The 27296-nt window shown below is 43.8% G+C and overlaps 5 protein-coding genes and 5 non-coding genes across 198 annotated transcripts in view, besides 8 other annotated features; 7 read left to right on the forward strand and 3 right to left on the reverse strand.

Moving 5' to 3' along the window:
• PBRM1 (polybromo 1) overlaps positions 1–776 on the reverse strand; it is a 140547-nt gene extending 139771 nt beyond the window's left edge. For 129 of the 171 annotated variants that reach the window (NR_175959.1, NR_174502.1, NM_001394874.1 and 126 more), the window contains exon 1: positions 612–776. The gene's annotated coding sequence lies outside the window, so the exon portion shown is untranslated. Of the gene's footprint in view, positions 1–298; positions 463–611 lie in introns of those variants that run through there. The other 42 variants (NM_001405629.1, NM_001405631.1, NM_001405642.1 and 39 more) reach the window with 2 other exon arrangements.
• Positions 363–512: a silencer, noted in NCBI's record as "silent region_14449". NCBI's record gives its function as "represses an Ori minimal core promoter by ATAC-STARR-seq in GM12878 lymphoblastoid cells {active_cell/tissue: GM12878}" and the evidence as "EXISTENCE:reporter gene assay evidence [ECO:0000049][PMID:35858748]".
• Positions 363–1058: a biological region, named in NCBI's record as "H3K27ac hESC enhancer GRCh37_chr3:52719523-52720211".
• Positions 370–1058: an enhancer, noted in NCBI's record as "H3K27ac hESC enhancer chr3:52719523-52720211 (GRCh37/hg19 assembly coordinates)". NCBI's record gives its function as "activates a minimal SCP1, AML or CMV promoter by ChIP-STARR-seq in primed H9 embryonic stem cells {active_cell/tissue: H9 hESC(primed)}" and the evidence as "EXISTENCE:reporter gene assay evidence [ECO:0000049][PMID:30033119]".
• Positions 583–732: a silencer, noted in NCBI's record as "silent region_14450". NCBI's record gives its function as "represses an Ori minimal core promoter by ATAC-STARR-seq in GM12878 lymphoblastoid cells {active_cell/tissue: GM12878}" and the evidence as "EXISTENCE:reporter gene assay evidence [ECO:0000049][PMID:35858748]".
• On the forward strand, positions 783–9360 carry GNL3 (G protein nucleolar 3). 3 transcript variants are annotated; one of them, NM_206826.1, is made up of 15 exons: positions 783–918; positions 1632–1690; positions 2109–2246; positions 2365–2478; positions 2972–3055; positions 3937–4069; positions 5455–5567; positions 5808–5934; positions 6405–6492; positions 7735–7909; positions 8050–8192; positions 8271–8407; positions 8495–8670; positions 8900–8966; positions 9056–9360. In NM_206826.1, the coding sequence occupies exons 2-15, from the start codon at positions 1655–1657 to the stop codon at positions 9136–9138; spliced, it is 1614 nt and encodes a 537-aa protein (NP_996562.1). In that variant the 5' UTR covers positions 783–918; positions 1632–1654; the 3' UTR covers positions 9139–9360. The 3 variants fall into 3 exon arrangements, with proteins under 3 accessions (NP_996562.1, NP_996561.1, NP_055181.3); NM_206825.2 differs by having other exon boundaries at positions 895–1065; NM_014366.5 differs by having other exon boundaries at positions 895–968.
• Positions 1053–1122: an enhancer, noted in NCBI's record as "active region_19945". NCBI's record gives its function as "activates an Ori minimal core promoter by ATAC-STARR-seq in GM12878 lymphoblastoid cells {active_cell/tissue: GM12878}" and the evidence as "EXISTENCE:reporter gene assay evidence [ECO:0000049][PMID:35858748]".
• On the forward strand, positions 3750–3896 carry SNORD136 (small nucleolar RNA, C/D box 136). Its single transcript, NR_132757.1, has one exon. It is a non-coding gene; the product is annotated as a small nucleolar RNA, C/D box 136 (small nucleolar RNA).
• Positions 4103–4178, forward strand: SNORD19 (small nucleolar RNA, C/D box 19). The gene has a single exon (NR_003047.1). It is a non-coding gene; the product is annotated as a small nucleolar RNA, C/D box 19 (small nucleolar RNA).
• On the forward strand, positions 5601–5693 carry SNORD19B (small nucleolar RNA, C/D box 19B). The gene has a single exon (NR_003687.1). It is a non-coding gene; the product is annotated as a small nucleolar RNA, C/D box 19B (small nucleolar RNA).
• SNORD19C (small nucleolar RNA, C/D box 19C) lies at positions 6241–6307 on the forward strand. The gene has a single exon (NR_145744.1). It is a non-coding gene; the product is annotated as a small nucleolar RNA, C/D box 19C (small nucleolar RNA).
• SNORD69 (small nucleolar RNA, C/D box 69) lies at positions 7599–7675 on the forward strand. The gene has a single exon (NR_003057.1). It is a non-coding gene; the product is annotated as a small nucleolar RNA, C/D box 69 (small nucleolar RNA).
• GLT8D1 (glycosyltransferase 8 domain containing 1) lies at positions 9349–20654 on the reverse strand. Of its 14 annotated transcripts, XM_047448566.1 has the most exons (13): positions 20310–20654; positions 19587–19815; positions 18662–18791; positions 18367–18561; positions 15308–15359; positions 15125–15223; positions 12584–12797; positions 11405–11522; positions 11097–11181; positions 10791–10903; positions 10284–10450; positions 10053–10165; positions 9349–9898 (listed from the first exon to the last, which is right to left on the reverse strand). In XM_047448566.1, the coding sequence occupies exons 5-13, from the start codon at positions 15321–15323 to the stop codon at positions 9708–9710; spliced, it is 1116 nt and encodes a 371-aa protein (XP_047304522.1). In that variant the 5' UTR covers positions 15324–15359; positions 18367–18561; positions 18662–18791; positions 19587–19815; positions 20310–20654; the 3' UTR covers positions 9349–9707. The 14 variants fall into 14 exon arrangements, with proteins under 14 accessions (XP_047304522.1, XP_047304528.1, XP_047304524.1 ...); XM_047448572.1 differs by lacking the exon at positions 19587–19815; XM_047448568.1 differs by lacking the exon at positions 18662–18791 and having other exon boundaries at positions 19587–19811.
• Positions 20381–20550: a silencer, noted in NCBI's record as "silent region_14451". NCBI's record gives its function as "represses an Ori minimal core promoter by ATAC-STARR-seq in GM12878 lymphoblastoid cells {active_cell/tissue: GM12878}" and the evidence as "EXISTENCE:reporter gene assay evidence [ECO:0000049][PMID:35858748]".
• On the forward strand, positions 20969–26011 carry SPCS1 (signal peptidase complex subunit 1). Its single transcript, NM_014041.5, has 4 exons — positions 20969–21145; positions 21507–21566; positions 21656–21742; positions 22550–26011. Exons 1-4 carry the CDS (start codon positions 21110–21112, stop codon positions 22673–22675), a joined length of 309 nt encoding a protein of 102 aa, NP_054760.4. The 5' UTR covers positions 20969–21109; the 3' UTR covers positions 22676–26011.
• Positions 22497–22566: an enhancer, noted in NCBI's record as "active region_19946". NCBI's record gives its function as "activates an Ori minimal core promoter by ATAC-STARR-seq in GM12878 lymphoblastoid cells {active_cell/tissue: GM12878}" and the evidence as "EXISTENCE:reporter gene assay evidence [ECO:0000049][PMID:35858748]".
• Positions 22737–22826: a silencer, noted in NCBI's record as "silent region_14452". NCBI's record gives its function as "represses an Ori minimal core promoter by ATAC-STARR-seq in GM12878 lymphoblastoid cells {active_cell/tissue: GM12878}" and the evidence as "EXISTENCE:reporter gene assay evidence [ECO:0000049][PMID:35858748]".
• NEK4 (NIMA related kinase 4) overlaps positions 23307–27296 on the reverse strand; it is a 62497-nt gene continuing 58507 nt past the window's right edge. For all 4 annotated transcript variants that reach the window (NM_001193533.3, NM_001348414.2, NM_001348412.2 and 1 more), the window contains one exon: positions 23307–26732. In NM_001193533.3, the coding sequence (NP_001180462.1) occupies positions 26640–26732 (93 nt within the window). In that variant the 3' untranslated portion in view covers positions 23307–26639. The remainder of the gene's footprint in view (positions 26733–27296) is intronic.

Consider the following 27296-nt stretch of genomic DNA (forward strand, 5'->3'; position numbering starts at 1 on the left):
TTCAGGGCTTTTTCTATATTTTTGCAACTCTTTCTTCCCCTTTAAATTAAAACTTATTATAATAACAAAACTGTGCTTCCCCAAACCAAGAAATATACACAGTTCCCAAAATCCCGGATTCTTTGTGGTGTTGAGAAGCTGAAATATCTGGCCTCTACTATAAATACAAGTCCCATTGATTAAAATACCCGGAAAAAATACGGAAAGAAAATCACTAAGAGTTTGTGTCGAACCGTCAAGAAACCACAACAAAAAAAAGAGGCCCTGAGCAACGGAGGAAATGAAGGACTTTCCCGACCTGTCACTGGTATTGGGGACTGAGGGAAACGTTGACAGCTTTGAAGCTGCCCCGCGACGAGCGGGAAAGAGGAGCGCGGGGAGTTTCCGACCCGTAGTGCGCCTTTGTCCCTGCCGGCAGGTGCGACAAGGCTACTGGGCCCATCCGGAGGCCAGCCGCCGCGCCCCGCCCAACCCCGCGCGCCCGGCCCGACCCGCGCGTCCCCACGGCCGGGGCGGGGCTTCCGCCGCGGCTCCCGCCCGCCCGGGCCCACACAAAGGCCCGGCAGCTGACCAAGGGGGAGCGGCCCCACCCGCCCTGGGCCCGGCCTTACCCAGCCGCTCCGCCGCCTGCAGCCCCGGCCGCGGTCACCGACCGCCGCGCCCCGCCCCGTGGCCGCCACGGCTGCTGCTATTGCTCCTCCGGCCGCGGCCGCTGCCGTCGCTTCGGCACCCGCCGCCCTCACCTCCCTTACCCCTCCCGGTGCCGCCGCAAAACCAGTCCCGCGGCCGCCAAGCGATCCCTGCTCCGCGCGACACTGCGTGCCCGCGCACGCAGAGAGGCGGTGACGCACTTTACGGCGGCAGCGTAAGTGCGTGACGCTCGTCAGTGGCTTCAGTTCACACGTGGCGCCAGCGGAGGCAGGTTGATGTGTTTGTGCTTCCTTCTACAGCCAATATGAAAAGGCCTAGTAAGTGGGGTCGGGAGGCGGGCGTGGAGGGACCCACGTCTGGAAGTTGCTGCAGCCACCACGACGCTCTTCTACGGCTACGGCTTTGTCTCTGCTGGTATGGGGGTGGGAGCCTACGCGTAGGCCTTGGCCCTATTTCCTGGTAGAACCGAGAGTTGGAAGTCCCTACGGCGATCATGTTAACCGCGCGGGCTCATTCTGCGGAACGAAGCCGGGCAGAGGGTGGGGAAGACTAGGCTAGATTTTCGTAAGGAAGCAGCGTCTGAGCCAGGTTTGAGGCCCAATATTTTCTTTCCGTGGCCACGTGCAGACTGGCCCAGGTGAGAGCTGAGAATCGCCTCCCAGACTCAGTGTTCCTCTCCTGCCTTATGATTCGTGCTGTTTGACACGAAGTGGTTGTCGTTTTGTGTCTCATACGCTGTTGTGTATGATCCCATTCTAATATTGTGAGGGTAAGTGCAGGGAATTTTGACTCCATTCTGGATCTACTGAATTTAATTCTCTGGGATTTGAAAGTAGCACGTATGTTTGCATTAGGCATTTCGCATTAGACTTAACGTTAGGTTTGGTAGCCAATAACACAAGAAAAGGATATAACTCCATAGTGCGTTAACCCAGAACTAATCATTTGGGTTAACAGATTTGTGATGTGTTTCTTTGTAGAGTTAAAGAAAGCAAGTAAACGCATGACCTGCCATAAGCGGTATAAAATCCAAAAAAAGGTAAGTGTAGTGCTTGAGAGAGCTGTACCAAACACATTGCTAAACTGATTTTGCCCTGTTCCTTTGCGGGAAAGTCTGGGTTAATGTGATTTGGTTTTGGGAAATGGCATTGGATAGACTGACCATGGGCACAAGCTCTTAGGCATCAGGAGTGCAGCTGTGAGAAAGTGCAGTGATTTGGTGATAAGTCTCTAAATTTGTTCAGCATGTTAATCTCTGCATAGAGAGCCTTCTAGTTACAATTTCTTGCTGTTTTATACTTACATATGCATTACTTTGTAAGATTCCAATTAAAGCTCCATTTTCCTAGGACATTTTATAGGCATAACTAAATTGCAGCCAGATTGGTTTCTCACTTGAATTCTGCTTAAGTATAAAGATATTTTTGTAAGCAGACAAAATCTCTTTATTTTAATAGGTTCGAGAACATCATCGAAAATTAAGAAAGGAGGCTAAAAAGCGGGGTCACAAGAAGCCTAGGAAAGACCCAGGAGTTCCAAACAGTGCTCCCTTTAAGGAGGCTCTTCTTAGGGAAGCTGAGCTAAGGAAACAGAGGGTAAGTTATGTTAGCCAGAATTTTCATTGAGTGGTGTAGTGTGTTATGTGTGATATTTTTCAGAGTAAGGTAACAACACTAGTCACTGGTTCACCTATTTCCCTTATGGCTCTGACAGCTTGAAGAACTAAAACAGCAGCAGAAACTTGACAGGCAGAAGGAACTAGAAAAGAAAAGAAAACTTGAAACTAATCCTGATATTAAGCCATCAAATGTGGAACCTATGGAAAAGGTATGATTAGGTCTCTTTATGAATGAGAGATCAGGGGTTTTGATTTTGGTTTTTTTGCTTGGGCCTGAGTGCAGTGGCACAATCACAACTCACTGCAACCTGGACCACCCAGGCTCAAGCAGTCTTACCACCTCAGTCTCCAAGTAGCTGGGACTACAGAAGCACACCATCACGCCTGGCTAATTTTTTTTAGCAGACACGGGCTTTCACTATATTGCCAAGGCTGGTCTCAAGTGATCCACCCAACTCAGCCTCCCGAAGTTTCTGGTATTACAGGTGTGGGCTGTTGTGCCTGGCTGAGAGATGAGTTCTGATGCAGAAATAAAAGCACATCCACAGGCTGCTGAGCTTCTTGGGAGGAAGACAACTGAGTTCAGACTCCATCTTACCTATTTAACAACTGCAAGGGCTGCTACTCAGCTGTGGAAAATGGAGTTAGAGGTTACAGTTGCTCTACTTCTAATTTTGTGTTATTTCCCCCTTTATCCTCTAGGAGTTTGGGCTTTGCAAAACTGAGAACAAAGCCAAGTCGGGCAAACAGAATTCAAAGAAGCTGTACTGCCAAGAACTTAAAAAGGTATCTTAGCCTAGGTCAGTGTCTGACAGTAGTAATGAGGTTTAAAAGACTCAAGTCATTTTTTTTTTAACCTTTTAAGATGAAGGGTGCATGTGCAGGTTTGTTATATGGGTAAACTTGCGTCATAGGGGTTTGCTGTACAGATTATTTCATCACCCAGGTATTAAGCCTAGTACGACATTAGTTATCTTTCCTGATCCTCTCCCTCCTCCCACCTTTTCACCAACAAATCATTTCGTGACTCGACTCTAGCTTATGCTGTTTAATGCCTTTCCTGCTATGTTTACCTGACGGAAATAGTTTCTTTGGTTCTAAATATTTGCACAAAACTGGTTCTGCCTGTAAGCATGATTTACAACATTAAAAAAAAACGTTGACATAGTGTTGAGATTGAGAAAGGTACATTGGAGTAAGCAGTGTCAGGCTAAAGGTCTCTAAAGTACTCTGTTGAAACCTAAGTGAAGGAGGACAACTTGGTGTAGTTGCTCTCCAGCACTCCCATCCCCAACATCCATTTTCCCAAGCTCACTCCCCCATGGATAGAACCTGACTGCCCCTCAGCAGCTTTTGGCAAGGCCAGAAGGACCTATCAAACTATATAATTCACTATGGGAGGATTCAGACAGGGATATTTGCATTTTTGAAATCCATCTTGATCAGAGACTGCTGAGCAAGCCTATGTTTTACTTTCCTGTGTGAGAAATGATGAGGGTCAACATTCTTCATACCAAAGTGAAGACATGAGATCCAACTCTGAGCTCACCCTGTTGCTAAATGGATAATGCCAGTACTCTCTTGTGGAAGGTATTACCAGAACAAGGGATGTAGTTCTGATCATTTTCTCCTTGATAATGTAGTTCTGGTCATTTTTTCCTTGATAGGTGATTGAAGCCTCCGATGTTGTCCTAGAGGTGTTGGATGCCAGAGATCCTCTTGGTTGCAGATGTCCTCAGGTAGAAGAGGCCATTGTCCAGAGTGGACAGAAAAAGCTGGTACTTATATTAAATAAATCAGGTGAGTAAAGAGGGTACCCTTTGTCTTCTGTGTACATGGGTGAGGTACGAGGAAACAGTCTGATAGTCACTGAAGACTGATTAGATCCAACTCTGATCTCAGCAAAGCCAGAGTACGTGCACTTTGCCAGAGACAGTGCTAGGCAGTGGGGAGCCAGGTGACTTTTACAACTGACTCAACTGGTTTCTACTATTCTTTTGCCATTCAGTATTTACCATCTTTTAAATAAAGAGTGTAAGCTGCTATACCCAGCTTATTGTGTAGTATATTTCATCTAGGAAGTGATGACAGTGTGACAAATTCCCCACACCTACACAATGTCGGGTATTAGTTCAAGAGTGAAATAAATTGGAACGTATGTGACAAAATATTTAAATGAAATGCATAATTATGCATCTGAGTTTGAGCAGCAGGAAAAAGAAAACCCAGAACAGAGAATTACAAAGCAGAAAATGGGAATGAGATCTAAAATTGTTGTTGGGGTTAAGAAACAATTGGCTGCTTGGGAGGCTGAAGTGGGCACATCACTTGAGGCCAGGAGTTCGAGAAAAGCCTGGCCAACACGGCGAAACCCCATCTCTACTAAAATACAAATATTAGCCGGGCATGATGATGGGCACTTGTAGTCCCAGCTACTCGGAAGGCTGAGGCAGGAGAATTGCTTGAACCCGGGAGGCGGAGGTTGCAGTGAGCCGATACTGTGCCACTGCACTCCAGCCTGGGCAACAACACTTCGTCTCAAAAATGAAGAAACAATTGGCTGCTAGCTAAAGGTAAATTCTGGAAACATAGCTCTAGGGTTAGTAGGGTTGTAATCCAGACGTTGAGTCTGTCCTGAAGTTTTCAAGTGAGCAATACAAGGGGAATTGAAATAGAGAAGTGCAGATGCTGAGCTCTGTTAAGATACGGGCAGTATGGTAGGGGAGCTTACCCTGCCCTGATTTTCTAGTTAAATCCTTTTGAAAGGACTGGGAAAATGTAAACCAGAGTAAAATCTATAGTTGCCAGATTTTGCAAATGCATCTCAACAAAATAGCCACATTGGAGCAAATGTCTTTTTCTTTTTTTCTTTTTGAGATGGAGGCTTGCTGTGTCACCCAGGCTGGAGTGCAGTGGCGCCATCTCAGCTCACTGCAAGCTCCACCTCCCGGGTTCACGCCGTTCTCCTGCCTCAGCCTCCCGAGTAGCTGGGACTACAGGTGCCCACCACCACGCCCAGCTAATTTTTTTGTATTTTTAGTAGAGACGGGGTTTTATCGTGTTAGCCAGGATGGTCTTGATCTCCTGAACTCGTGATCCGCCTGTCTCGGCCTCCCAAAGTGCTGGGATTACAGGCGTGAGCCACCGTGCCTGGCCGCAAATGTCTTATTTCTAATTGCTATCAGATCTGGTACCAAAGGAGAATTTGGAGAGCTGGCTAAATTATTTGAAGAAAGAATTGCCAACAGTGGTGTTCAGAGCCTCAACAAAACCAAAGGATAAAGGGAAGATAACCAAGGTATCCTTTATTAGTGGTAAGAAATGTGATTCTTTCAGATTTTGGTTGAAATATGATGAGTGTACAAAATCTTGATTTAAGTGAATGAAAAATTACAAGATCCAACTCTGATTTCAGCCAGAGATCATCTGAAAGGCAATGTAGTTATCTTAAGAGCTGGGCTCTGGAGCCTGATTGCTTGGGGTTTGTTGAAATTTATCAGGTAAGTTGCCAGAATAATTCAACTATTTGGAATTTTAGCGTGTGAAGGCAAAGAAGAATGCTGCTCCATTCAGAAGTGAAGTCTGCTTTGGGAAAGAGGGCCTTTGGAAACTTCTTGGAGGTTTTCAGGAAACTTGCAGCAAAGCCATTCGGGTTGGAGTAATTGGTGAGTTTCAGTTCATTACTTTTTACTTTTTAAGTGTTGAAATAGTTAAGAAGTTTAGCCAGCTCTCCAAGTGCCCAAGCAGCAGTGTATGGAGTTGTTGTCAAGTAAAAGGCTCACTCAAATACTAGCTTCTTGCTTATACCTTACTGAAAGCACATAACCACACACAATTTAAAGAAAAAAACTTACACAACTGCTGCCAGATTCAGGTTTTTTGTTGGGACTGATTACTGTAGGAAGCTGGTTTCTAAAAGTTCTTGGTTTGTTTGAATTTATAGTATTTTCCTGCCTTTGCATTACTTGTGCAAGAAATGAAGAAACTAAAATTGGTCTTAGTATTGAAGTGAAGACACTGAGATCCAACTCTGATCTTGCCCTAAACATCAGGGAAATGGAAAATTAGGCAGTGAAAATTTCATAAGTGCCAACATATAATGCTTTTTATATCTGGATTTCCCATTTATTTGTAGGTTTCCCAAATGTGGGGAAAAGCAGCATTATCAATAGCTTAAAACAAGAACAGATGTGTAATGTTGGTGTATCCATGGGGCTTACAAGGTAAATGGAGGTGTCCATAATTGTAATATTATAGTGACACACTATTTTATTTTGGTTATCTCAAGGAAGGTGATTTTTTTTTTTTTTTTTTTTGAGACAGTTTCACTCTTGTTCCCAGGCTGGAGGGCAATGGCGCAATCTCGGCTCACTGCAACCTCCACCTCTCAGGTTCAAGTGATTCTCCTGCCTCAGCCTCCAGAGTAGCTGGGATTACAGGCATGTGCCCCCACGCCCGGCTAATTTTGTATTTTTAATAGAGACGGGTTTCTCCATGTTGGTTAGGCTGGTCTCAAACTCCTGACTTCAGCTGATCTGCCCGCCTCGGCCTCCCAAAGTGCTGGGGTTACAGGCCAAGCCACCGCGCCCGGCCTATTTTTATTTTTTAAAGCTTTTGGTGAAAGCAGAGATTTAAGCCAGTGCTAGAACTGATTGGAGTGGGACAGCTGCCCACAATTTAGTTTGAAAGACAAGTTCAGCAGATAGATTGAGAGAGAGGAAAGCTCCCTCAGAGGAAGTGATGTTTGAACCTGGCCTTGAGAAATTAATAGAAATTTGCCAGATAGAAGTCTGCCACCACACCTGGCTAGTTTTTGTATTTTTAATAGAGATGGGGTTTCACTGTTGGCCAGGCTAGCCTCAAACTCCTGGCCTTAAGTCATCCACCCGCCTAGGCCTCACAAAGTGTTGGGATTACACTTGTGTTGGGTGGCATGAGCCACTGTGCCTGGCCAACTTTTAGATTTTTTTTTTTTGGGAGATGGAGTCTGTCTCCCAGGCTGGAGTACAGTGGTGCTATCTTGGCTCACTGCAACCTCAGCCTCCTGAGTAGCTGGGATCAAAGGCACCCGGCTAATTTTTGTATTTTTAGTAGAGACAGGGCTTTCATCATGTTGGCCAGGCTGGTCTCAAACTCCTGACCTCAGGTGATCCACCCACCTCGGCCTCCCAAAGTGCTGGGATTACAGGCGTGAGCCACCGCGCCCAGCCAGAAGGTGGCATATTTATAGCAAAGGAAATAGCATGTGTTTTGGTTGATGTAAATATATAAGCTATAACATGTAGTGTTCTCTTTAGAACAGTCGGGTATGCTGTTACAGTTTTAGATAAATGTGAAGCAAATGATGATAAACTGGATCTGACTGACTGTGCTGAGTCTGTTCAATCCAACCCTGAGCTTCATGTTCTGTCTCTTAACCTCCAAATAGACCAATGCCCCCATCAATTCCATCGCTCTTCTTTCAGGAGCATGCAAGTTGTCCCCTTGGACAAACAGATCACAATCATAGATAGTCCGAGCTTCATCGTATCTCCACTTAATTCCTCCTCTGCGCTTGCTCTGCGAAGTCCAGCAAGTATTGAAGTAGTAAAACCGATGGAGGCTGCCAGTGCCATCCTTTCCCAGGCTGATGCTCGACAGGTAAAAGGACCCCTTCTCATGAGCTCCTTGGAGCCATCTTCTTTCATCATAAGCATTTTGAGTAGAAAAATCTTGGAAGTGTTTTAAAGTACTGGCATGTCAGATGAAGGACAGCTCCTTTGTTTGGTTTTTTTTTTAAGGTAGTACTGAAATATACTGTCCCAGGCTACAGGAATTCTCTGGAATTTTTTACTGTGCTTGCTCAGAGAAGAGGTATGCACCAAAAAGGTGGAATCCCAAATGTTGAAGGTGCTGCCAAACTGCTGTGGTCTGAGTGGACAGGGTAAGCTTTCTTTTCTGTTGGCATTTTGGTGACCACTAGAATAAACCTTCTTTTGACACATCTTATTTTTAATATCAGTGCCTCATTAGCTTACTATTGCCATCCCCCTACATCTTGGACTCCTCCTCCATATTTTAATGAGAGTATTGTGGTAGACATGAAAAGCGGCTTCAATCTGGAAGAACTGGAAAAGAACAATGCACAGAGCATAAGAGGTGAGAATTGTGTGTCGCTGCTGTCTTCATCAGCTGACAGGCCAGTGGAGCTCTTACCTGTTTACATGGGCTTGCTTTCTTTCCCAGCCATCAAGGGCCCTCATTTGGCCAATAGCATCCTTTTCCAGTCTTCCGGTCTGACAAATGGAATAATAGAAGAAAAGGACATACATGAAGAATTGCCAAAACGGAAAGAAAGGAAGCAGGAGGAGAGGGAGGATGACAAAGACAGTGACCAGGAAACTGTTGATGAAGAAGTTGATGTAAGTGTGTCCTCCATGAGTTAAAACTGAAGTGAGTTTTCTAGCATTATAATACATAATGGAAGGAACTGAAGATAGGAAATATTTGAGGCTTGTGATCCATTAGCCTTAATTTTGCACATCCCGTTATATGTACCTCCAAAGAGTTAATTTTTCAGGTACATAACTACTTGGATTAAATGAGCAGACAAGGGCTACTAATCCAGCACTATTTTTCTTTGTCACACAGGAAAACAGCTCAGGCATGTTTGCTGCAGAAGAGACAGGGGAGGCACTGTCTGAGGAGACTACAGCAGGTGAGGCAGGCAAAAGGGGTTCTAACGAAGCAGCATGGTATAGAATCACTTTTACTTTTTGAAAATCTCTTTATTTTCCTGCAATATAGGTGAACAGTCTACAAGGTCTTTTATCTTGGATAAAATCATTGAAGAGGATGATGCTTATGACTTCAGTACAGATTATGTGTAACAGAACAATGGCTTTTTATGATTTTTTTTTTAACATTTTAAGCAGACTGCTAAACTGTTCTCTGTATAAGTTATGGTATGCATGAGCTGTGTAAATTTTGTGAATATGTATTATATTAAAACCAGGCAACTTGGAATCCCTAAATTCTGTAAAAAGACAATTCATCTCATTGTGAGTGGAAGTAGTTATCTGGAATAAAAAAAGAAGATACCTATTGAAAAATGTAAGTTTTATTTACAGATCAGGCCACAGGTTACAAAATTAAAACCAACAGCAGTTTTGAATTATCTGTACCAGCTAGCTGAACTAGCCATATCAGTTCTTCTTTCCAGTCATTCAGCATTGTAGTAAGAAAACACTTGGTAAGGCAGATGGAGACATATTTATAGTCTATAGTCTGTCTGGGAAGCTGACTGCCAGACAGGGCAGTTTGTCATCTTTACCTAGCTGACACATCTTTTTCCATGGCTTGCTACCGATAGGCATTGAAGCCTAGCAACTGTTACTTCCCACGCATGCTATCTTCCAGGACTTCCTGAGAAATGCTTGCTTACAGTTCAAATTCTGTTTCACTTTATGTTTGAGATCTCGGTATATCTTCGGATTAGGTTGAATTTGCCTGTTGGGTCTGGAATATACCATTTTTCCCAAACATCAGTATATGAAGCAGTCCTTCCCCATGGCTTCAAATGTCCATTCCAATGGAGTAACTTGGCAGCCTTTACAAACTGAGGTGAATATCGTTTTCCAGCACTGGAACCTTACATTTGAGACAAAAATAGCCACATCGTTGCGCCATGTGAAATTGTGCAGAAAACTTACTTAAGGGAAACAAAGAATATACCCCATCCCTGAGGATAGTTCTTTAGATACCAATTCTTTACTAGCTTATGCCACTGGTTAATTCTACTTACCAAGGTGGCGGACATTCCACATAGGATCGATGGTAGAGTGCTGTTGATAAAATACGATAAGCAGAGGAGGTGTTGTGATGCTACCAGCCAGGGTTCTGCTATACAGTCCCTCTCTTGGTGGGACAGAAAACAAATGTTTGTTAGTGAAAAGTACTGACTAACTCCTGTTAGTCAAGACTCTAGGAATTGAAATACAACAGTTTTTCACAGCTAGGCCAGTTACATACTTACTCTACATTGAGTTTCATCCATTTTTCCAGTTGGTTAGTTATATTCTGTCGTTTCCATTCCGTCAGGTTTGCAACAAAAACTCCAGGATTAAATGAGCAAGTGCTGGCTTTCATGGAAAGCTTACGAATTCTTTCCTTTTTATAGTCAAGATAGCCAATGTAATTGTACTAAAAACACAAATAGGATATATGTACTTACTGCTTCAAACAAAATAGATACAATTTTATAGCCAGTAGAGAGAAGAGCTGTTAAACTGACTTCTTCAGATTAGAAAATAAATATTTGAAATTCCAAGTTAGAATAGGAACCTAGATGTTGACATAATAAACCAGATGTTCAAGAACAATTAGGCTGTCAAGTCCATGAAGAAGTCTACAGAAAAGCAGGCTTGAGTTTTGGGATGAAATGATTGGGGAGTGTAAATTGCAGCAAAAGAGTTCCCTGAATTTGCAACCTCTTCCCATTAAACAATATTGTAGGAAGAGGGGTGTTTGGTAAGCAATTTACCTGGTTTCCTGCTCCACGGATGACAACTTTAGTAGAGGCTGAATCACAATCTTCTGAAAATGCAGCTGCATGTCCTGGCTTCAGTGCTGTATTGTAAAGGGCAAGAATATCACCTGAAATAGACAAGATGTTAAGATTTACATTTCCGTTGCCTTGAGAGTTCCCTGTTACTCCCACTTCTCCCTATGGTGACCTTTTATAGAAGACCATAAATAAACCACTACAGCCCACTGTAGCCCATTGTTTTATTTAGCAATTGTACCCAATCTGGGTGGAGAACAGCACTCATGGTGACATTTTTGATACCTTGCACAATTACATCATCATCCATGTATATGGCCTTCTTTGCGCTGGGAACCAGAATTGGCAAGTAGAACCTTGCAAAGGTTAACTGGAAAAGGAAAGAATAATTGGCATAGGATACCGCACTAGCTGTGCTTTTATTTACACAGAAACTCCTAGGATGCTTTCAGTACCCATTCAGGAGAAGAAAGGACTCTTAGAACCACCCAGGCTTGGTCCCCAGGAAACTACTTGCACTATACCCACAGATACCCAGGTATTCCATTATTTCCTAATACTGCCAAGTGCAAAGAAGGATGCATGGAACTCACAGGTTTCATGGATTCCCCCTGGTCAGGATCCTCCTTTACTTTTCCTTCCAAAAGTTTAGGGTCAAAATTGACAATTTTGTATCTGATGCTTTTCAGGGAATCACTGTTGAGCCAGGACCTGATGAAGATAAAACACTACATTTTAGTTTCAAATAATGTCTCCAAACCAATGAGGGAATAATGCAAAAGAAACCCTATGGACCAAATAGGTGTTTTCAAGCTCCTTTTATCTCTGAGCTTTGGTTTCCTCGTCTGAAGTGAGGGTAATTCCCACCAAAGTCCCTCCCTGAATTAAGATTGTATGGTAATTATCTTCTAACACTAAAACTACTCTAGAAAAACTATAGAATTAAGAACATTTCATCACCACCTGGACTATCCAACTCTTAACTGTGGTGACCCTAATTCCACCACTCAAGTCTGAGGCACTACCTGTAAGAAAAAACTGTTTGCTAAAGGAGTACTGCACATTTTTTCTAGGTCAGTTTCAAATCAGTGTTTTGTGGCTACTTAGTGTTATTTCTGTAGTCTATTTTTATACAGCTTCTGTTTCTGTATTTTAAATGCGTTCAGAATTTACAGCTTTAAAAACTAAATATGAACCATGCAGAGGGCCACAAGGACCAAAATGTTTCAGAAATTTGACAACTGGTTAATTTGTTAGACCAACAAATTTGGAGTAAGTTTTATAAGTCTTATTCATTTTCAAAATGGATTAGACTATCCAAGTTTCCCCAGATCACTCTGGGCCAGGATTTGGATCAGGATCTGTGATCAGCATCACAACACTACCTTGCCATTGTTGCTAAGTCCCTTCCCACTCTAGACCAGAACTGCTCCGAGCATGTCCATGAAATAAGGAACTTGTGACTTGTAAATCAACATTTACTGCTCCCTTCACTGAGAAAGTATTATTATCAAAACACCATCAGGTGGGGTTAACAGTTCAGAGTGACAGCTGACTTACTTCCTGGCATGAGCTCCTTGTATCACTTCTCCTATTATGGGGATATGCTCATAATACAGTCCTAAAAAAAATATGTCATTTGTACAGTTTATCACTGGTACAATTTCAATTGTATAAAACAACATACAAACCACAGAAAAACAGATCCTGGATTGGCAGCTGGCCTGCTCTAAATCATCCTCTAGAAGCAGAATCACATAAGCAGAGCTCACCGGAGATGGTCTGCTGTATTGTTGAGAGTAACAATGTAGAAAATCACATTGGAGCGAGTGTTGTGCTGAATGCTGTTTATAGCTGCAATGGCCCCCCCAAGCCTGTCTTCAGATGCAGCGATGACCACAGGAATCTCCTCTTGTCTCCCATCTACTGCATGTCGGAGAGCATTTGGGACAAAGTCTATAGGTTGAGGCCCTACAATTCCTGAATCTGAAAACACAAGGAAGGCACTGTGATTACAATCTCATGGGCTTTTGATATAGAGTCCAAGACATGGAAAAAGGGAAGGTAAGGATTATGGTACTGATCTACCTCATTCTCCCCCATTAAACTGAAGCATATAGCCCTGAAACTTTCCCTGTATGTAAATAAGCTTTTGGAAAAGTGGAGGAAGCATTTTTTAAAATACACTGACAGCACTTTGGTACACTACTGGTAGGAAAATAACAGAACCTGTTAGAATGTATTATGGCAATTTGTATCAAGAGTTTCCTAAGGACAAAATCTGAAATATAATCAAAAGAAAGAATTTTATTTAAATTGTGAAAACTTAGCAGCAAACTAAATCAATGTTTTTCAAGTCACGAATCACAAGTAGGCATGAAACCAATTGAGTGAGTCACAATCAATTTATACAGAAAAAGTTTCTGGATTGCAATAGAAAACTGAAATAGAGGCCGGGCATGGTAGGTCACGCCTGTAATCCCAGCACTTTGGGAGGCTGAGGCGGGTGGATCACTTGAGGTCAGGAATTTGAGACCAGCCTGACCAACATGGTGAAACCTCATCTCTACTAAAAATACAAAATGAGCCAGGTGTAGTGGTGAACACCTGTAATCCCAGCTACTTGGGAGACTGAGGCAGGAGAATCGCTTGAACTCGGGAGGTGGAGGTTGCAGTGAGCCAAGACTGTACCACTGCACTCCAGCCTGGGCAGCAATAGGAAAACTCCATCTCAAAAAAAAAAAAAGAAAACTGAATTAGAATACCAAAGAAAACATAGTGTATCACACAAGGAAACTGCAATTACTGTCCTGTATGCATTCTTGCCTTTCATTTTTTTTTTTTTATTCCTCATTGAACCCTGGTATTTACTATGTGCCAGGCAATATCTAGGCACTGGGGTTACAGCCATGAATAAAACATCCCTAACTTTCTGAGGATAGACAGCCAATAAGCAAATACACATGTATGTACATGTGCTACATGTAATGTATTTCCTATTGTAGGGCTGCCATCAAAAAGTCTGAAAGCTGTTGTAGCAAAAGATGTTATCCTGTGGAAACAAATTAATAGACATTAAGATTATGTATGAAGAGTTTCTACCATCACAGTGACATGATATACAGAAAAACATGTCATGTACAGTTTATATATAGTACAATCTCAACTGTACAGAAAAAAAGATGTGTAGGAAAAAACTGGAAGGTACTAAGCCAAAATTGTAAATGAAATCATTCAACCAACTAATATTTATTGAACAGCTAGTATCAGCCATCATCCATAGGCACAGAAGATAAAACAGTACACAAATTGCCTTCATGGAGCTTAAATACTGTTGTCTCTTTTTTTTTTTCTTGAGACGAAGACTCACTCTGTCACCAGGCTGGAGTGCAGTGGCGTGATCTTGGCTCACTGCAACCTCCGCCTCCTGGGTTCAAGCGATTCTCCTGCCTCAGCCTCCCGAGTAGCTGGGACTACAGGCGCATACCACCACGCCCAGCTAATTTTTGTATTTTTAGTAGAGACGGGGTTTCACCATGTTGGCCAGGCTGGTCTTGTACTCCTGACCTCGTGATCTGCCCACCTCAGCCTCCCAAAGTGCTGAGATGGTCTCGATCTCTGACCTTGTGAGACGCCCACCTTGGCCTACCAAAGTTTTGGGATTACAGGCATGAGCCACTGCTCCCGGCCGCTGTTCTCTTTTTTATAAACTTTCCTACCAGGAACATGCATTACTTTATATGTATCATACATATATACACGTGATAAAACATGCTATCAGAGCACTCCGTGAAAGTCAGGGGAAAGCTATTACAGTCTCTCACTCTGGTCAGCTATGGTGGGTGGCAATCCAAAAATGATTTTTGACAAACACTCAAGCCTCAAACATTTCTCAGTACCAAGGGAGAACAGTATGAACGACTAATTCAATATACTGTGCGATATATTATACAACACAGTGATTTTTAAAAATCACTTGACAAACTTTTATTGCTACAGTCCCACTGATGCAGCTGCACAGCTGAAGGAAAGTAACTAGACTGACACTCTAGTGACTAGAGCAGGCATCAAACACCAAGGACACTGGTATGCCCTCACTTTCTGAAGCCCTGTCCTGCTGACATGTGAACAGATGGCAGCCCTCAGAGGCTCTCCTAAGGCCTCTGATTTGGTGAAAAGGAATATTCTGTCAGATCAAACCCTTAACAAACAACTGCTAGTACTACCGGAAGAAGAACAACTTAGGATGTGTGACACAGAGAATACCAGGTCCGCAACAGATTCTAAGGCATTATTAATAAGTGCTCGCATACCTGTAACCTCATTCCTTAACAAACTGCTCAAGCTGAGGAAGTTATGGTGCAAAACCAGTAAGAAGAGAGCAACAGCCAGGACCAAGATGATGATGTTTACTGAAATAGATAGGGAAAACCTATGTTATACCTCTTTATCTTTGACCAGGTATAAAAACAACTTAACTTGTAGAAAGAGCATACCTTTACGGAATGACATCTTTTTCTTCTGTCATATAAATATTAGTTTTTAACCCTACAAAACAAAAACAAGCCCCCAAAGTCAGTAAGCACATGAGAAGGGACATCAAAATGCCCTAACACTTTTTTTTTTTTTTTAATTCAGGAAGAAACAAGAGGCATATACAGTATTCCGCCAGAAACTCATTTTGAATTCACAGTTCCCAAGAACCCAATTTGGGATCTGAAATTTTTGTGGTACTCATTAATAAAAAACTTAAAAATAAGTTGGAGAAACAGCCTTAGCCTTGTACATTATACATCACAAGATGAAAAGCAAAAGAAACATTTAAGAATTAAGTTTCAGCCAGGCAGGGTCTGGCCTATAATCCCAGCACTTTGGGAGGCCGAGTGGGGTGGATCATGAGGTCAGGAGTTCAAGACCAGCCTGGCCAAGATGGTGAAACCTCGTCTCTACTAAAAACTGCAAAAAAATTAGCCAGGTGCAGTGGCAGGGGCCTGTAATCCCAGCTGCTCAGGAGGCTGAGGCAGGAGAATCGCTTGAACCTGGGCAACAGAGGTTGCAGTGAGCCGAGATCATGCCATTGCACTCCAGCCTGGGCGACAGAGTGAGACTCTGTCTTTAAAATAAAAAATTACATAACATAATTAAGTTTCTACTTAAAATTCCTAAAGTAGACATGGATTCACGTTGTCTATGACCAAGTAACCTGAGGTCTTAGCCTCATCAGTAAAAACATGCCTGTTCAGAGTTGTATCCCATTCACCTTTAACATGAGTGTCCTCAGAGAAAAGAATATTATCCAAATTCACTTGACAAACCCACAGCACAGAAAAAGCTACAAAAATTCACAAAATCCAATCGATATCAAAAGTGTGGAGTACATTTCTAGCCATTGTAACTAGCAAAAAAAAAAAAAGGTTTATTTTAGTTTATTATTTTTTGAAACGGAGTCTTGTTCTGTCGTCCAGGCTGGAGTGCAGCGGCATGATCTCAGCTCACTGCAACCTCTGCCTCCCGCATTCAAGCGATTCTCCCGCCTCAGCCTTCCCAATAGTTGGGATTACAGGTGTGCGCCACCACGCCCAGCTAATTTTTGTATTTTTAGTAGAGATGGGGTTTCACCATGTTGGCCAGACTGGTCTCGAACTCCTGACTTCGTGATCTGCCCACCTCAGCCTCCCAAAGTGCTGAGATTACAGGCGTGAGCCACCACGCCCGGCCAAAAAAACATTTAAGGTGCTATTCTCAAAAACCATCTCTGTTAGCTAGCTATTCATCTCTTAAGAAGGTGGTGTCTAATTGTCACAATGTCCTGGTTGGTCCTCCTCAGCTCATCTGACCTTCACTTTTTCAAAACAATTCAGTGGAAACAAGATAGTAGGTGGAACTAAATTTATTTAAAAAATAAATTCCTTCAACAAGCTCTGGATAAAATGTTTCCTTAAAGACATTTTACCAACCAAGATATCGTGAACCTACCTTTTAACCCTTTCTTACTTCATCTTCACCCATAGTAGTACCCAACCCTTACATAAGGCTATTAATTTTACAAAGCACTTTCAAACATAGCGTATTGCAATGCAAGTTAGTTCATTTGTTTTTTTAGACAGGGTCTCACCATGTTGCCCAGGCTGGCCTCTAACTCCTAGGCTCAAGCAAGCCTCCTGCCTCAGCCTCCCAAGTAGCAGGGACTACAGACAAAGTAAGTTTGAATTAACTTCATCCTGGGAAAATTGTGTGCCTACCAGGCACTTAATTTCTCAAGGCCTTTGTAAAGAAGAGAAATATGTTGAAAAACTGTTTAAAAAATTGGGGGCTGGGCACTGTGGCTCATGCCTATAATCCCAAAATGAAAACAACAAGGCTAACGCGGGCAGATCACCTGAGCTGAGGAGTTCAAGACCAGCCTGGGTAACATTGTGAAAGCTCATCTCTACAAAATATACAAAAATTAGCCAGGCATGGTGACGTGCATCTGTAGTCCCAAGCATTTGGGAGGCTAAGGCAGGAGGATCCCCTGAGCCAGGGAGGTCAAGGCTGCAGTAAGCCATATTCATGCCACTGCACTCCAGCCTGGGTGACAAAGCGACACCCTGTCTCAAAAAAATAAAAAATAAAAAGCAATAAAAACTGTGGATCAGCCAGGCACTGTGGCTGATACCCATAATCCCAACTATTCAGGTGGCTGGGGTGGGAGGCTGCCTGAGCCCAGGAGTTCCAGACCAGCCTGAGCAACATAGTATGACCATCCCCCAACCCCATATCTAAAAAAAATTTTTTTTAAAAATGGGATCACAGGCCAGATTACAAATTAGGGGGAAAATACACATCTTTCTTTCTTTCCTTTTTTTTTTTTTTCGAGACAGAGTCTGGCTCTGTCAGCCAGGCTGCAGTGCAGTGGTGCCGTCTTGGCTCACTGCAACCTCTGCCTCTCAGATTCAAGCAATTCTTGTGCCTCAACCTCCCGAGTAGCAGGGACTACAGGTGTGCGCCACCACGCCCAGCTAATTTTAATAGAGAGAGGGTTTCACCATGTTGGCCAGGCTGGTCTCGAACTCCTGACCTCAGGTGATCCACCTGCCTCGGCCTTCCAAAGTGCTGGGATTACAGGCCTGAGCCACCAGGCCCAGCCCACACACACCTTTCCAAAGCAGTATATATGAAGTACAACGTGTCAGTGAACTTCTTCTCATATACATCAGGGCGCCGTGGCTCACGTCTGTAATCCCAGCACTTTGGGAGGCCAAGGCAGGTGGATCAAGAGGTCAGGAGTTCGAGACCAGCCTGTCCAAGATGGTGAAACCCCATCTCTACTAAAAATACAAAAAATTAGCCAGGCATGGTGGCAGGTGCCTGTAATCCCAGCTATTTGAGAGGCTGAGGCAAGAGAATCCCTTGAACCCGGGAGGCGGAGGTTGCAGTGAGCTGAGACCGTGCCACTGCACTCCAGCCTGGGCAACAGAGTAAGACTCTGTCTCAAAAAAAAAAAAAAAAAAAGAGAAGTATATACATCAGTATATACCCTAAGTCATATGCCTCTATCACATTATGGGCTGACCTTATCTACAGAAGCTGGCAGAGGGGAGCTGTTCGGACAAAGCCCCAACATCTGCCTGCGATGAGGCAACTTCCACCACCACTGAGAAAACGATCTTGCACTCAAATAAATCCCACTTAATTAATGGTACAAGAGATAATGTTTTTAGTTTCTTGACTTCCAGTTAGCAGTTACGGGATCAAGAGGCACACTTGGCTGGAAACAAGAAAAACACAATTCTATCAAGTATCTGACATACTTAAGTAGACTGGCAAGGCAGAAACCAGTTGCTCCTAAAACTTCCACAGTTACCTACATGCAAAACGCCAGTTATCATGGAGTACGTCTAATCCATATTGTCTTTCCTGGGGCTATTCCTGGTAAGAGAGCTTTCCTGATCTGGTTAGAAGGAATTCTCAAAACGAAATTGCACACAGACGCTGGATCTGTAATAGTTAACTACATTTTCGTAAGAGTATATAATTGTGTACAATTTGATTAGCAACACAGTTGGTCCTCAGTATCAGTCGGGGATTGGCTCCAGGACTCCCCATGTATACAAAAATTCACGGATGCTCAAGTCCCTTATGTAAAATGGCATATTACAGTCAGCCCTCTGTATCTGTAATTTCAGTCCGTGGTTGGTTGAATCCAAGGATACAAAACTGTGGATACAAAAAAAAAAGACCGCACTGGCCGGGCGCGGTGGCTCATGCCTGTAATCCCAGCACTTTGGAAGGCCGAGGTGGGTGGATCACTTGAGGTCAGGCGTTTGAGACTAGTCTGGCCAACACAGTGAAACCCCGTCTCCACTAAAATCACAAAAATTAGCCGGGCGTGGTGGCGCATGCCTGTAATCCCAGCTACTCAGAAGGCTGAGGCAGGACAATCCCTTGAACCCAGGAGGCGGAGGTTGCAGTGAGCCGCGATCGCACCACTGCACTCCAGCCTGGGCAACAGAGCGAGTCTTCGCCTCAAAAAAAAAAAAAAAAAAAAAAAAAGACCACACAGAGATATATCTATTTATACACACAACAGAAAGTCTCTTCAAACACACCAAGAAATACAGAGCATGAGAAGGAAACAGGAATAAACTCTTGCCCATCCCTCTTTCTGCCTTCTACACGTCCTGAGTCCTTCTGAGGTCAGAAAAGTGTCAAACGTGTCTGCATTTTACTGTTTGGTCTCTGCCACGTGCAAGGATGAAAGGGCACTGAGGATATACAAACACTTTCTCCTACCCTTTCATCTGGCTGGCTCCCACTTGGCATTCAAAGGTCAAGGTAGCCTCCTCCAAACTCCACGTTGAGCTGCACCTCCCCTGAGCTCCCACATCTGGGCCTCCCTCTCCCAGGGCTAATCCAGCTGTCATGTATTTCTGGCGTGATGTGGCTGTCTCCCTTGACACGCTCTGGGCTCTTCCAAGGCAACAGCCTGGTCTTGGTAACAACCGTGTCCTCGGTCTGCTGTCTGGCACAAACAAGGTGCCGTGAATATTTGCTGGTTGCATGAATGAGGACAGCAGTCCCACCCTGTCCCGGGAGTGCCTAGAATTCCACTGTTTGTGGCCAACCCAGAATACATAACCTGGGGGCCGGAGAGCCAGCTGGGACCCAGAGGCCCGGGTTCCTCAGAACGGTTTCTCTCCAAAACGTGGGCATCCCACCTGGCTGACGGTAACGGAGGAGGGTCTAAGATTTAGAGATACACCAGCCTTGAAAGAGAGGCTGAGTGAACCTTTGGCTGGCCTCTATCGGGAGGGCCCAGCCTGGGTCTGTGAGGGTCAGTAAAGCCGGCCACAATGTGAGAGGGCTGAGTTCGGGAGCCCCCAGATGAGGGACTTTCTACGCGGATGAGAGGGACAGCCGAGCACCAGGGTCCCCTCTCCAAGGGAATTCTCTCTGTTGTGGATGCCGCCTAGGGTAGCCCCCCTAAATTCCAAGGGTCAGTAGGGCCCCCCTTACACTTTGAAGTGATCGGAAAGTGATGTGACGCTCCGGGGATCCCACCAGGCTCAGAGATACCCCTGGTTAGGGCTCCGACAAGTCGTTCCCCTCAAAGGCTCGCCGCGGCCGCCCTTACTGCAGGCGATGGAGGAGATGCGGATGCAGCCCGCGCCCCGACCCGCCCTGCCAGCTCAGCGCCCGCGCCGCAGGCCCCGGAGCCCAGCCCGTTGTCTGGCCGCCCGCGTTCCCTGCACGCTGGGCCGAGCACACTTGCCCTCTAGCTCCGTGGCAGCCGCGCAGCCCCACTACGCCCAGCCAGCCCGCAGCGGTAACCGCTAGAGCGTCGCGCCAAGCAGGCGCCGCGGGGCAGCCCTGCCGCCGGGGTCCTCGCAGGGAAAAAGGCCGTCGCCATGGAGACGCGGGGGCGCCGGCGGCCGTTGGGCCGCGCAAGTACTGTCAAGGACAGTTTTCGGGACGGGGGACGCGGCTCCAGGCACCCAACAGCACTGACGGCGAACACTTCACGGGCGCGCGATGCCTCGACAAGGCGGCCGCCACCACCACCTCAGCTGCCCTCGCGGGCAGCACGGCGCGGCAAAAGCGCACGTCGCCTAGCGATGGCGCGGGGCGGGGACACGGGCTGTACCGGCCCGTCGGAGACTTCCGCTTCCGGGGCCGCCGCCATCGCTCTCCCGGGCTTAGAAGGCCCGGCTACTGACGCGCAGTGCCAGACCTTACCCCTCACGGTCCTTAAGTCTCGGTCGCCCTCGCCTCGCAGCCTGCCACCCGCGCTCAGCTGCCCGCCTCCTCAGCCAGCCATGCTGGAGCATCTGAGCTCGCTGCCCACGCAGATGGTGAGGGCGCAACCCGGGGACCTCTGCACGCCGTTCTTGTGCCTGGCAGCTTCGAAGCCCATGTTGGAGCACCGACCCGGTGCTGCGCTGTTCCGGGCCCGGATGGTTACCGTCCACCCTCTTTCCCGAATTGCCTCCTGGGTCCCCTTCTCTTCTACTCCGCGAGAATCTCCTGTCCATTCTCCGTGAGGGTGTTTCAGTTCCTCCCGGGAAGCCCAGAATTTAATATCTTGCCCAGGCCCTTAGGAGAGCGGGAGACCCTGATGTTGGGGTTACCCTGTGCCAGAGTTGTGAGGTCAGGGCAGGAATTGTATGTTCTCGGCGGTGGAACCAATTCTTTTTTTCCTCTGCTTCACCCCAGGATTACAAGGGCCAGAAGCTAGCTGAACAGATGTTTCAGGGAATTATTCTTTTTTCTGCAGTAAGTATTGGTTTTACATTTAATCTCCGCCCCCGCCTCCCTCCCAACCCTCAGTTTGAGTGTGTTTAATATACTTCATTTGTCTCTAGATAGTTGGATTTATCTACGGGTACGTGGCTGAACAGTTCGGGTGGACTGTCTATATAGTTATGGCCGGATTTGCTTTTTCATGTTTGGTAAGAAATTTGTGGGTATTAGTGGCAGCTTGGGTTTTGTGAGTCGGGTTGGTTTGGTTAGACCTACTCAGTAGTGAGACCCAAAGCCAACGTTTCCCTCATCCTTCCAAACAGCGTTTCCCTTTGCTATCATTGGAAAAGTAGAATGCCAAAATAGTGTCAGATGGTGCGAACTATATAAAAGGACACAGCTTATTTCCTTTGGCGGCTACTCTGGCTAATAATCTTAAGGTCAAAGCCAGCAGGAGTTTTCATGGTGCTCACGTTGTCCCTTCACCTTTTATTTATTTATTTATTTAAATTTTTTGAGACGGAGTTTCACTCTTGTTGCCCAGGCTGCAGTGCACTGGGGCGATTTCGGCTCACTGCACCTTCTGCCTCCCGGGTTTAATAGATTTTCCTGCCTCAGCCTCCCGAGTAGCTGTGACTACAGGAGCCCACCACCACACCCAGCTAATTTTTGTATTTTTAGTAAAGACAGGGCTTCACTGTGTTGGCCAGGCTGGTCTCAAGCAATCCGCCCACCTTGGCCTCCCAGAGTGCTTGGATTACAGGCGAGAGCCACCACGCCTGGCCCCCACCTTTCTTTTAGGTCTTAAAGCCATTTGTATAGGCAGTGAGCCTGTTCCCATCATCATACAGTATTTTGCATGGATGGTGGCACAGAGCCTTTATAGGAATATGGATTTTTTTTTTTGTTTTTTTGTTCCCTCAGCATAGGAGTCATTTGGGAACCTGGCATTATACGTAATGATTTTTTAAACTTTTAATAGCTATAATTTATGCATTTCCTCTTTTCTGGCCCAGCTGACACTTCCTCCATGGCCCATCTATCGCCGGCATCCTCTCAAGTGGTTACCTGTTCAAGAATCAAGCACAGACGACAAGAAACCAGGGGAAAGAAAAATTAAGAGGCATGCTAAAAATAATTGAGGTTTTCATGATTCAGCACCTGCTTTTGTTTCTGTGAGATGAGCTAAATTGCTTTCATACCCCAGATAAGAGCTAAAACCACCTAATGCTCTTATGGCACAGCTGTGTATAGATTTAGTTCTCTTTATACTTCATTTCTAGCCCAGTTGGGTTTTGATTTATATAAGTAGTTTAGACCTTCTCTTCATAATCTTGCTCTGAGATGGGGAACAGAACACACAAGTATGAAGTTTCTTTCAGGTGTAAATAATGAAAAATAAATGCCTCATAAATGATAGTACAATGTAACTATCAAAGTTTTATAATTCATTATGAGTTAACCATTTTAATGTTTCCAATTAAACCTCATAGTGCAAGTTCTTTGTCTAAAGGGTCTTCTGTTGATTATTCTGCAAGGAAGATAATTAATAAAAGCCTAAGTTAGAAGTTCGTGCTTCTGGCCAGGTGCAGTGGCTCTCACCTATAATCCCAGCACTTGAGGAGGCTAAGGCAGGAGGATGACTTGAGCCCAGGAGTTTGAGACATTTCATGGTATGTAATTAATAGTTGTCATTAGAACATTAGTTCCATGAGAACGGGGACTTTGTTTTGCTCACTGCTGTCTACCCAGTACATAGAAGAGTACACGATGCATTGTTAAGTACTTAAGATTTATTGAATGAGAACTGCATTGTACAATATGGTGCCACTAGACACGTCTATTTAATTAAAATTAAAATATAAAACTCTAAAACTAGCCATGATTCAAAGGTTCAATAGCTATATGTGACTAGTGGCTACCATATAAAACATTTCCATCACAAAGTTCCATTTATCAGATCTTATATAGAACCTTGAATAAAATTTAATAGACAAGTGATTTTGTATTTAACATTTCACCTTTATTGAATGCCTATAAGGCCATTTGAATAACGGATCATGTACAAAGCAACAGGAAAAAAAAAACTGCAAGCAGTAAAGGTTGTGCAGGTGATATTCAGTAACACTGCAGTGTAGCCAGAGCAAGGACATAAAACTTCCTTAGCTTTGTAAGTCTGTGGAAATCAAAACTTCTAAAAGAGAAAACCGAAATCAGAATTACTGACACTTTAGGCCAGGCATGGTGCCTCAAGCCTGTAATCCCAGCATTTAGGGAGGCCAAGGCAGGCAGATCACCTGAGGTCAGGAGTTCAAGACCAGCCTGGCCAACATGGTGAAACTCCATCTCTACTAAAAATAACGAAAATCAGCCAGGCATGGTGGTGTGTGCCTGTAATCCCAGCTACTCGGGAGGCTGAGGGAGGGGAACTTGAACCCAGGAGGCGTAGGCTGCAGTGAGCCAAGATCGCACCACTGTACTCCAGCCTGGGCAACAAGAAGACTCCATCTCAAAAAAAAAAAAAAAAGAATGATTGACATTTTAGAACCAATGCCAAAAGAGTAACACATCAAAGTCTCTGAACTGTGGCCAAAGGTATATTCGGAAGAAAATTCACAGTCTTAAAGATGAGTTTTTAAATTAATTTAGGAAGATGAATTAAGCACTCAAGTAAAAACGATAAAAGTGGGAAGAAAAGATGTTTAAACAAAATAAAAATATACAGTATGGTAATTAATAAGAAAGTATGGGGGAAGTCAGGTGTGGTGGTTCATGCCTATAATCCCAGCACTTTCAGAGGCCGATGCAGGAGGACTGCTTGAATGCAGTTTGAGACCAGCCTGGGCAACACAGACTTCCTCTCCACAAAAAATTTTAAAAATTAGCCAGGTGTGGTGGTGCATGCCTGTGGTCCTAGCTACTTGAGGGGCTGAGGTGGGAGGATCACTTAAGCCCAGGAGGTCAAGGCTGCAGTGAGCTATGATCACCTCACTGCACTCCAGGCTGGGTGACAGAGCAAGACCCTGTCTCAAAAAAAAAAAAAAAAAAAAAAGATATGGGTGAGATTCCTTTAATTCTAATAAAATACCTACTTTATACCAATACATTAGAAAAATTAAGTAAAACTGATGACTCTCCAGAACGATGTGGATTTCCAAAACATGCACGGAAAGGTGAATAGCTCAAGGATACCAAGTTTGCCAAAGATTTGTTCCCAACTGGGCATTGGGACTTGATGGTTTTGCAAGTTGAGTTCTAGCAAACCCTTCAAAGTGAAAATAAGAGTTATCAGAAACCAGGCTGTGAGCACTGTAAAAGGGCAGGAAGTATTGTTTTATTCACCACTATATCCCCAGCTCCTGGCAGAGAACCTGGCACACAGTAAACTCTAAATAAAAATCTGTTAAGTGTGCCGGGCGCGGTGGCTCACGCCTGTAATCCCAGCACTTTGGGAGGCCGAGGCGGGCAGATCACGAGGTCAGGAGATTGAGACCATCCTGGCTAACACGGTGAAACCCTGTCTCTACTAAAAAAATACAAAAAAATTAGCCGGGCATGGTGGCGGGCAACTGTAGTCCCAGCTACTCGAGAGGATGAGGTAGGAGAATGGAGTGAACCTGGGAGGCGGAGCTTGCAGTGATCTGAGATTGGGCCACTGCACTTCAGCCTGGGTGACAGAGCAAGACTGTGTCTTAAAAAAAAAAAAAAATTGTTAAGTGGCTGTAAAGGGAACATTTCATTAGAGTATTTGTGTGTGTGTGTAATTTTCAAAGATAGATATATTTTTAGTTATAGAAACTGAAAACAGGGCTGGGCACAGTGGCTCATTCCTGTAATCCTGGCACTTTGGGAGGCTGAGGTGAGTGGATTGCTTGAGCCCAGGAGTTCTGAGATCAGCCTGGGCAATGTGGTGTAACCCTGTCTCTACAAAAAATACAAAAACTAGCCAGGTGTGGTGGCACACGCCTGTGGTCTCAGCTACTAGGGAGGCTCAGGCAGGAATACCACTTGAGCCCCAGAAGTGGAGGTTGCAGTGAGTTGAGATCATGCCACTGCACTCCAGCCTGACTGACAGAGTGAAACTCTGTCTCAAAAAAAAAACACCTGAAAACATTTCTGGAGCAATATTTATTTTTAGAGTCCCTCGAATACAGAAGTGAAAATGTACTATTCAAGACTTGTATTTAACTTCATAAAATTTCTTTCCTAGATGGGTATTACCTCTTATTAAACAACTAATAAAATATGTGCTATATAATCATACATTTAAAACATGGAAAGACAACTAATATCTTACAGTACATGAAGACAAACTTCAGGAGACAAACATTAAATATATCCAAAAACTAAATGGACCTGGACTTTGCTTACAAATTGCTTAAATGGAAATGAAATTTGTGTTTAAGAAATGTTTTCACTGATGGAAAAATAAATCTAACAAAACCATTATGTAAAAACATACTGATTTACAAAGCCAATGTGTCTCAGTTTTAATTTGTATATACCCTAGATGAGGTTTATATTAAATGAGAATAAAATATTAAAAGTCCATCAATGTGTAGAAAAGAAATACAGCTGCTCAAGTACTAGATAGAACTTCATATTCTTTAAATCTATTTCTAGAACTGAATTGACTTTTTAAAATTTTATAATTTATCAACTACTCCTTAAGGTTATTAACAATAGCAGGAATTATGACGACATATTATGTCATTTGTTTCTCCTACTGCTTTTATCTCTACATTACAATATAAAATTTTCAATCCAGCATTTTATAGCTCTGTGTTTAAGTTAATTAGTACCTTAAAAAAATAAAATTCTAAATATAAACTTGGTGGATTAAGGCTCAGTAAACAGTAATCAAACAAACAACAGATTTGTCCTCACAAAGAGAATATGAAAGCCAAAGTTTTTTTTCTTTTGTGATCCTGCTTCATATTATTCTGTTCTGTCCAATTTCTTTTCTGTAGGGAAACGCCAAAGAGATATAAAAAAGAGATATAAAACAGTGGTGAGTGGCTTCCAAATGACTGTTTGCCCTTGCTTTTTAAGCCAAAATCCTCTAAAAATAGGTCTTTAATTCTGGCAGCAGATTAGGACAAATGCTCAAAAATTCATGTTTTCTTCAAAAAATTTCAACTGGCGAGCTTTCACACTGTAAGTTGTATACTTTTCACCCATGTGCTCCCGCAAACGTACCTATTTGAGAAACAAAAAGAAAATCAATCAGTATGTAGTAGGAAAAAATATTTCTGTAATCTTAGAGGAAGGGCTTTTCTAAGCATGGTATCCAAGGTGGAAACCATACAGGAAAATACTAATAGTTCAGTTTACATAAAACTTTTAAACTTCAAGATGTTTCGAAAAGTCGTAAGAAATTAAAGAGCAAACAAACAATAAACTAGGGAAAACATTTGCAACATTCATGCCAAAGGATTAATAGCATTCGTATATAAAGAGTTCTTTGAATCAATAAAACCCAACAATATTAGAATAGGTAAAACAAAATCAATTTCATAGATAATTCAGCAAATTCATTTATATATGTATGTAAATGTAAATCCCATATATTTACAAAATAATCATATAAATAACCATTTAGTGAAATGGGAAAAGTTCCCTTGTCCCCCTCGCAGGGCGTGCAATGGGGGTGTGGCTCGCTTCTTCAGTGCCCCACTGCTCAAACCTCTAGGGGACCATACAGACAGGCAGGCTGTGGGGCTCTGACCCCATGGTAGTGTCTAGTGGTGAATGTTTACAGCT

The sequence above is a fragment of the Homo sapiens genome, chromosome 3 (genome assembly GCF_000001405.40).
Source record: "Homo sapiens chromosome 3, GRCh38.p14 Primary Assembly".
In the NCBI taxonomy this organism is placed as follows: domain Eukaryota; kingdom Metazoa; phylum Chordata; class Mammalia; order Primates; family Hominidae; genus Homo; species Homo sapiens.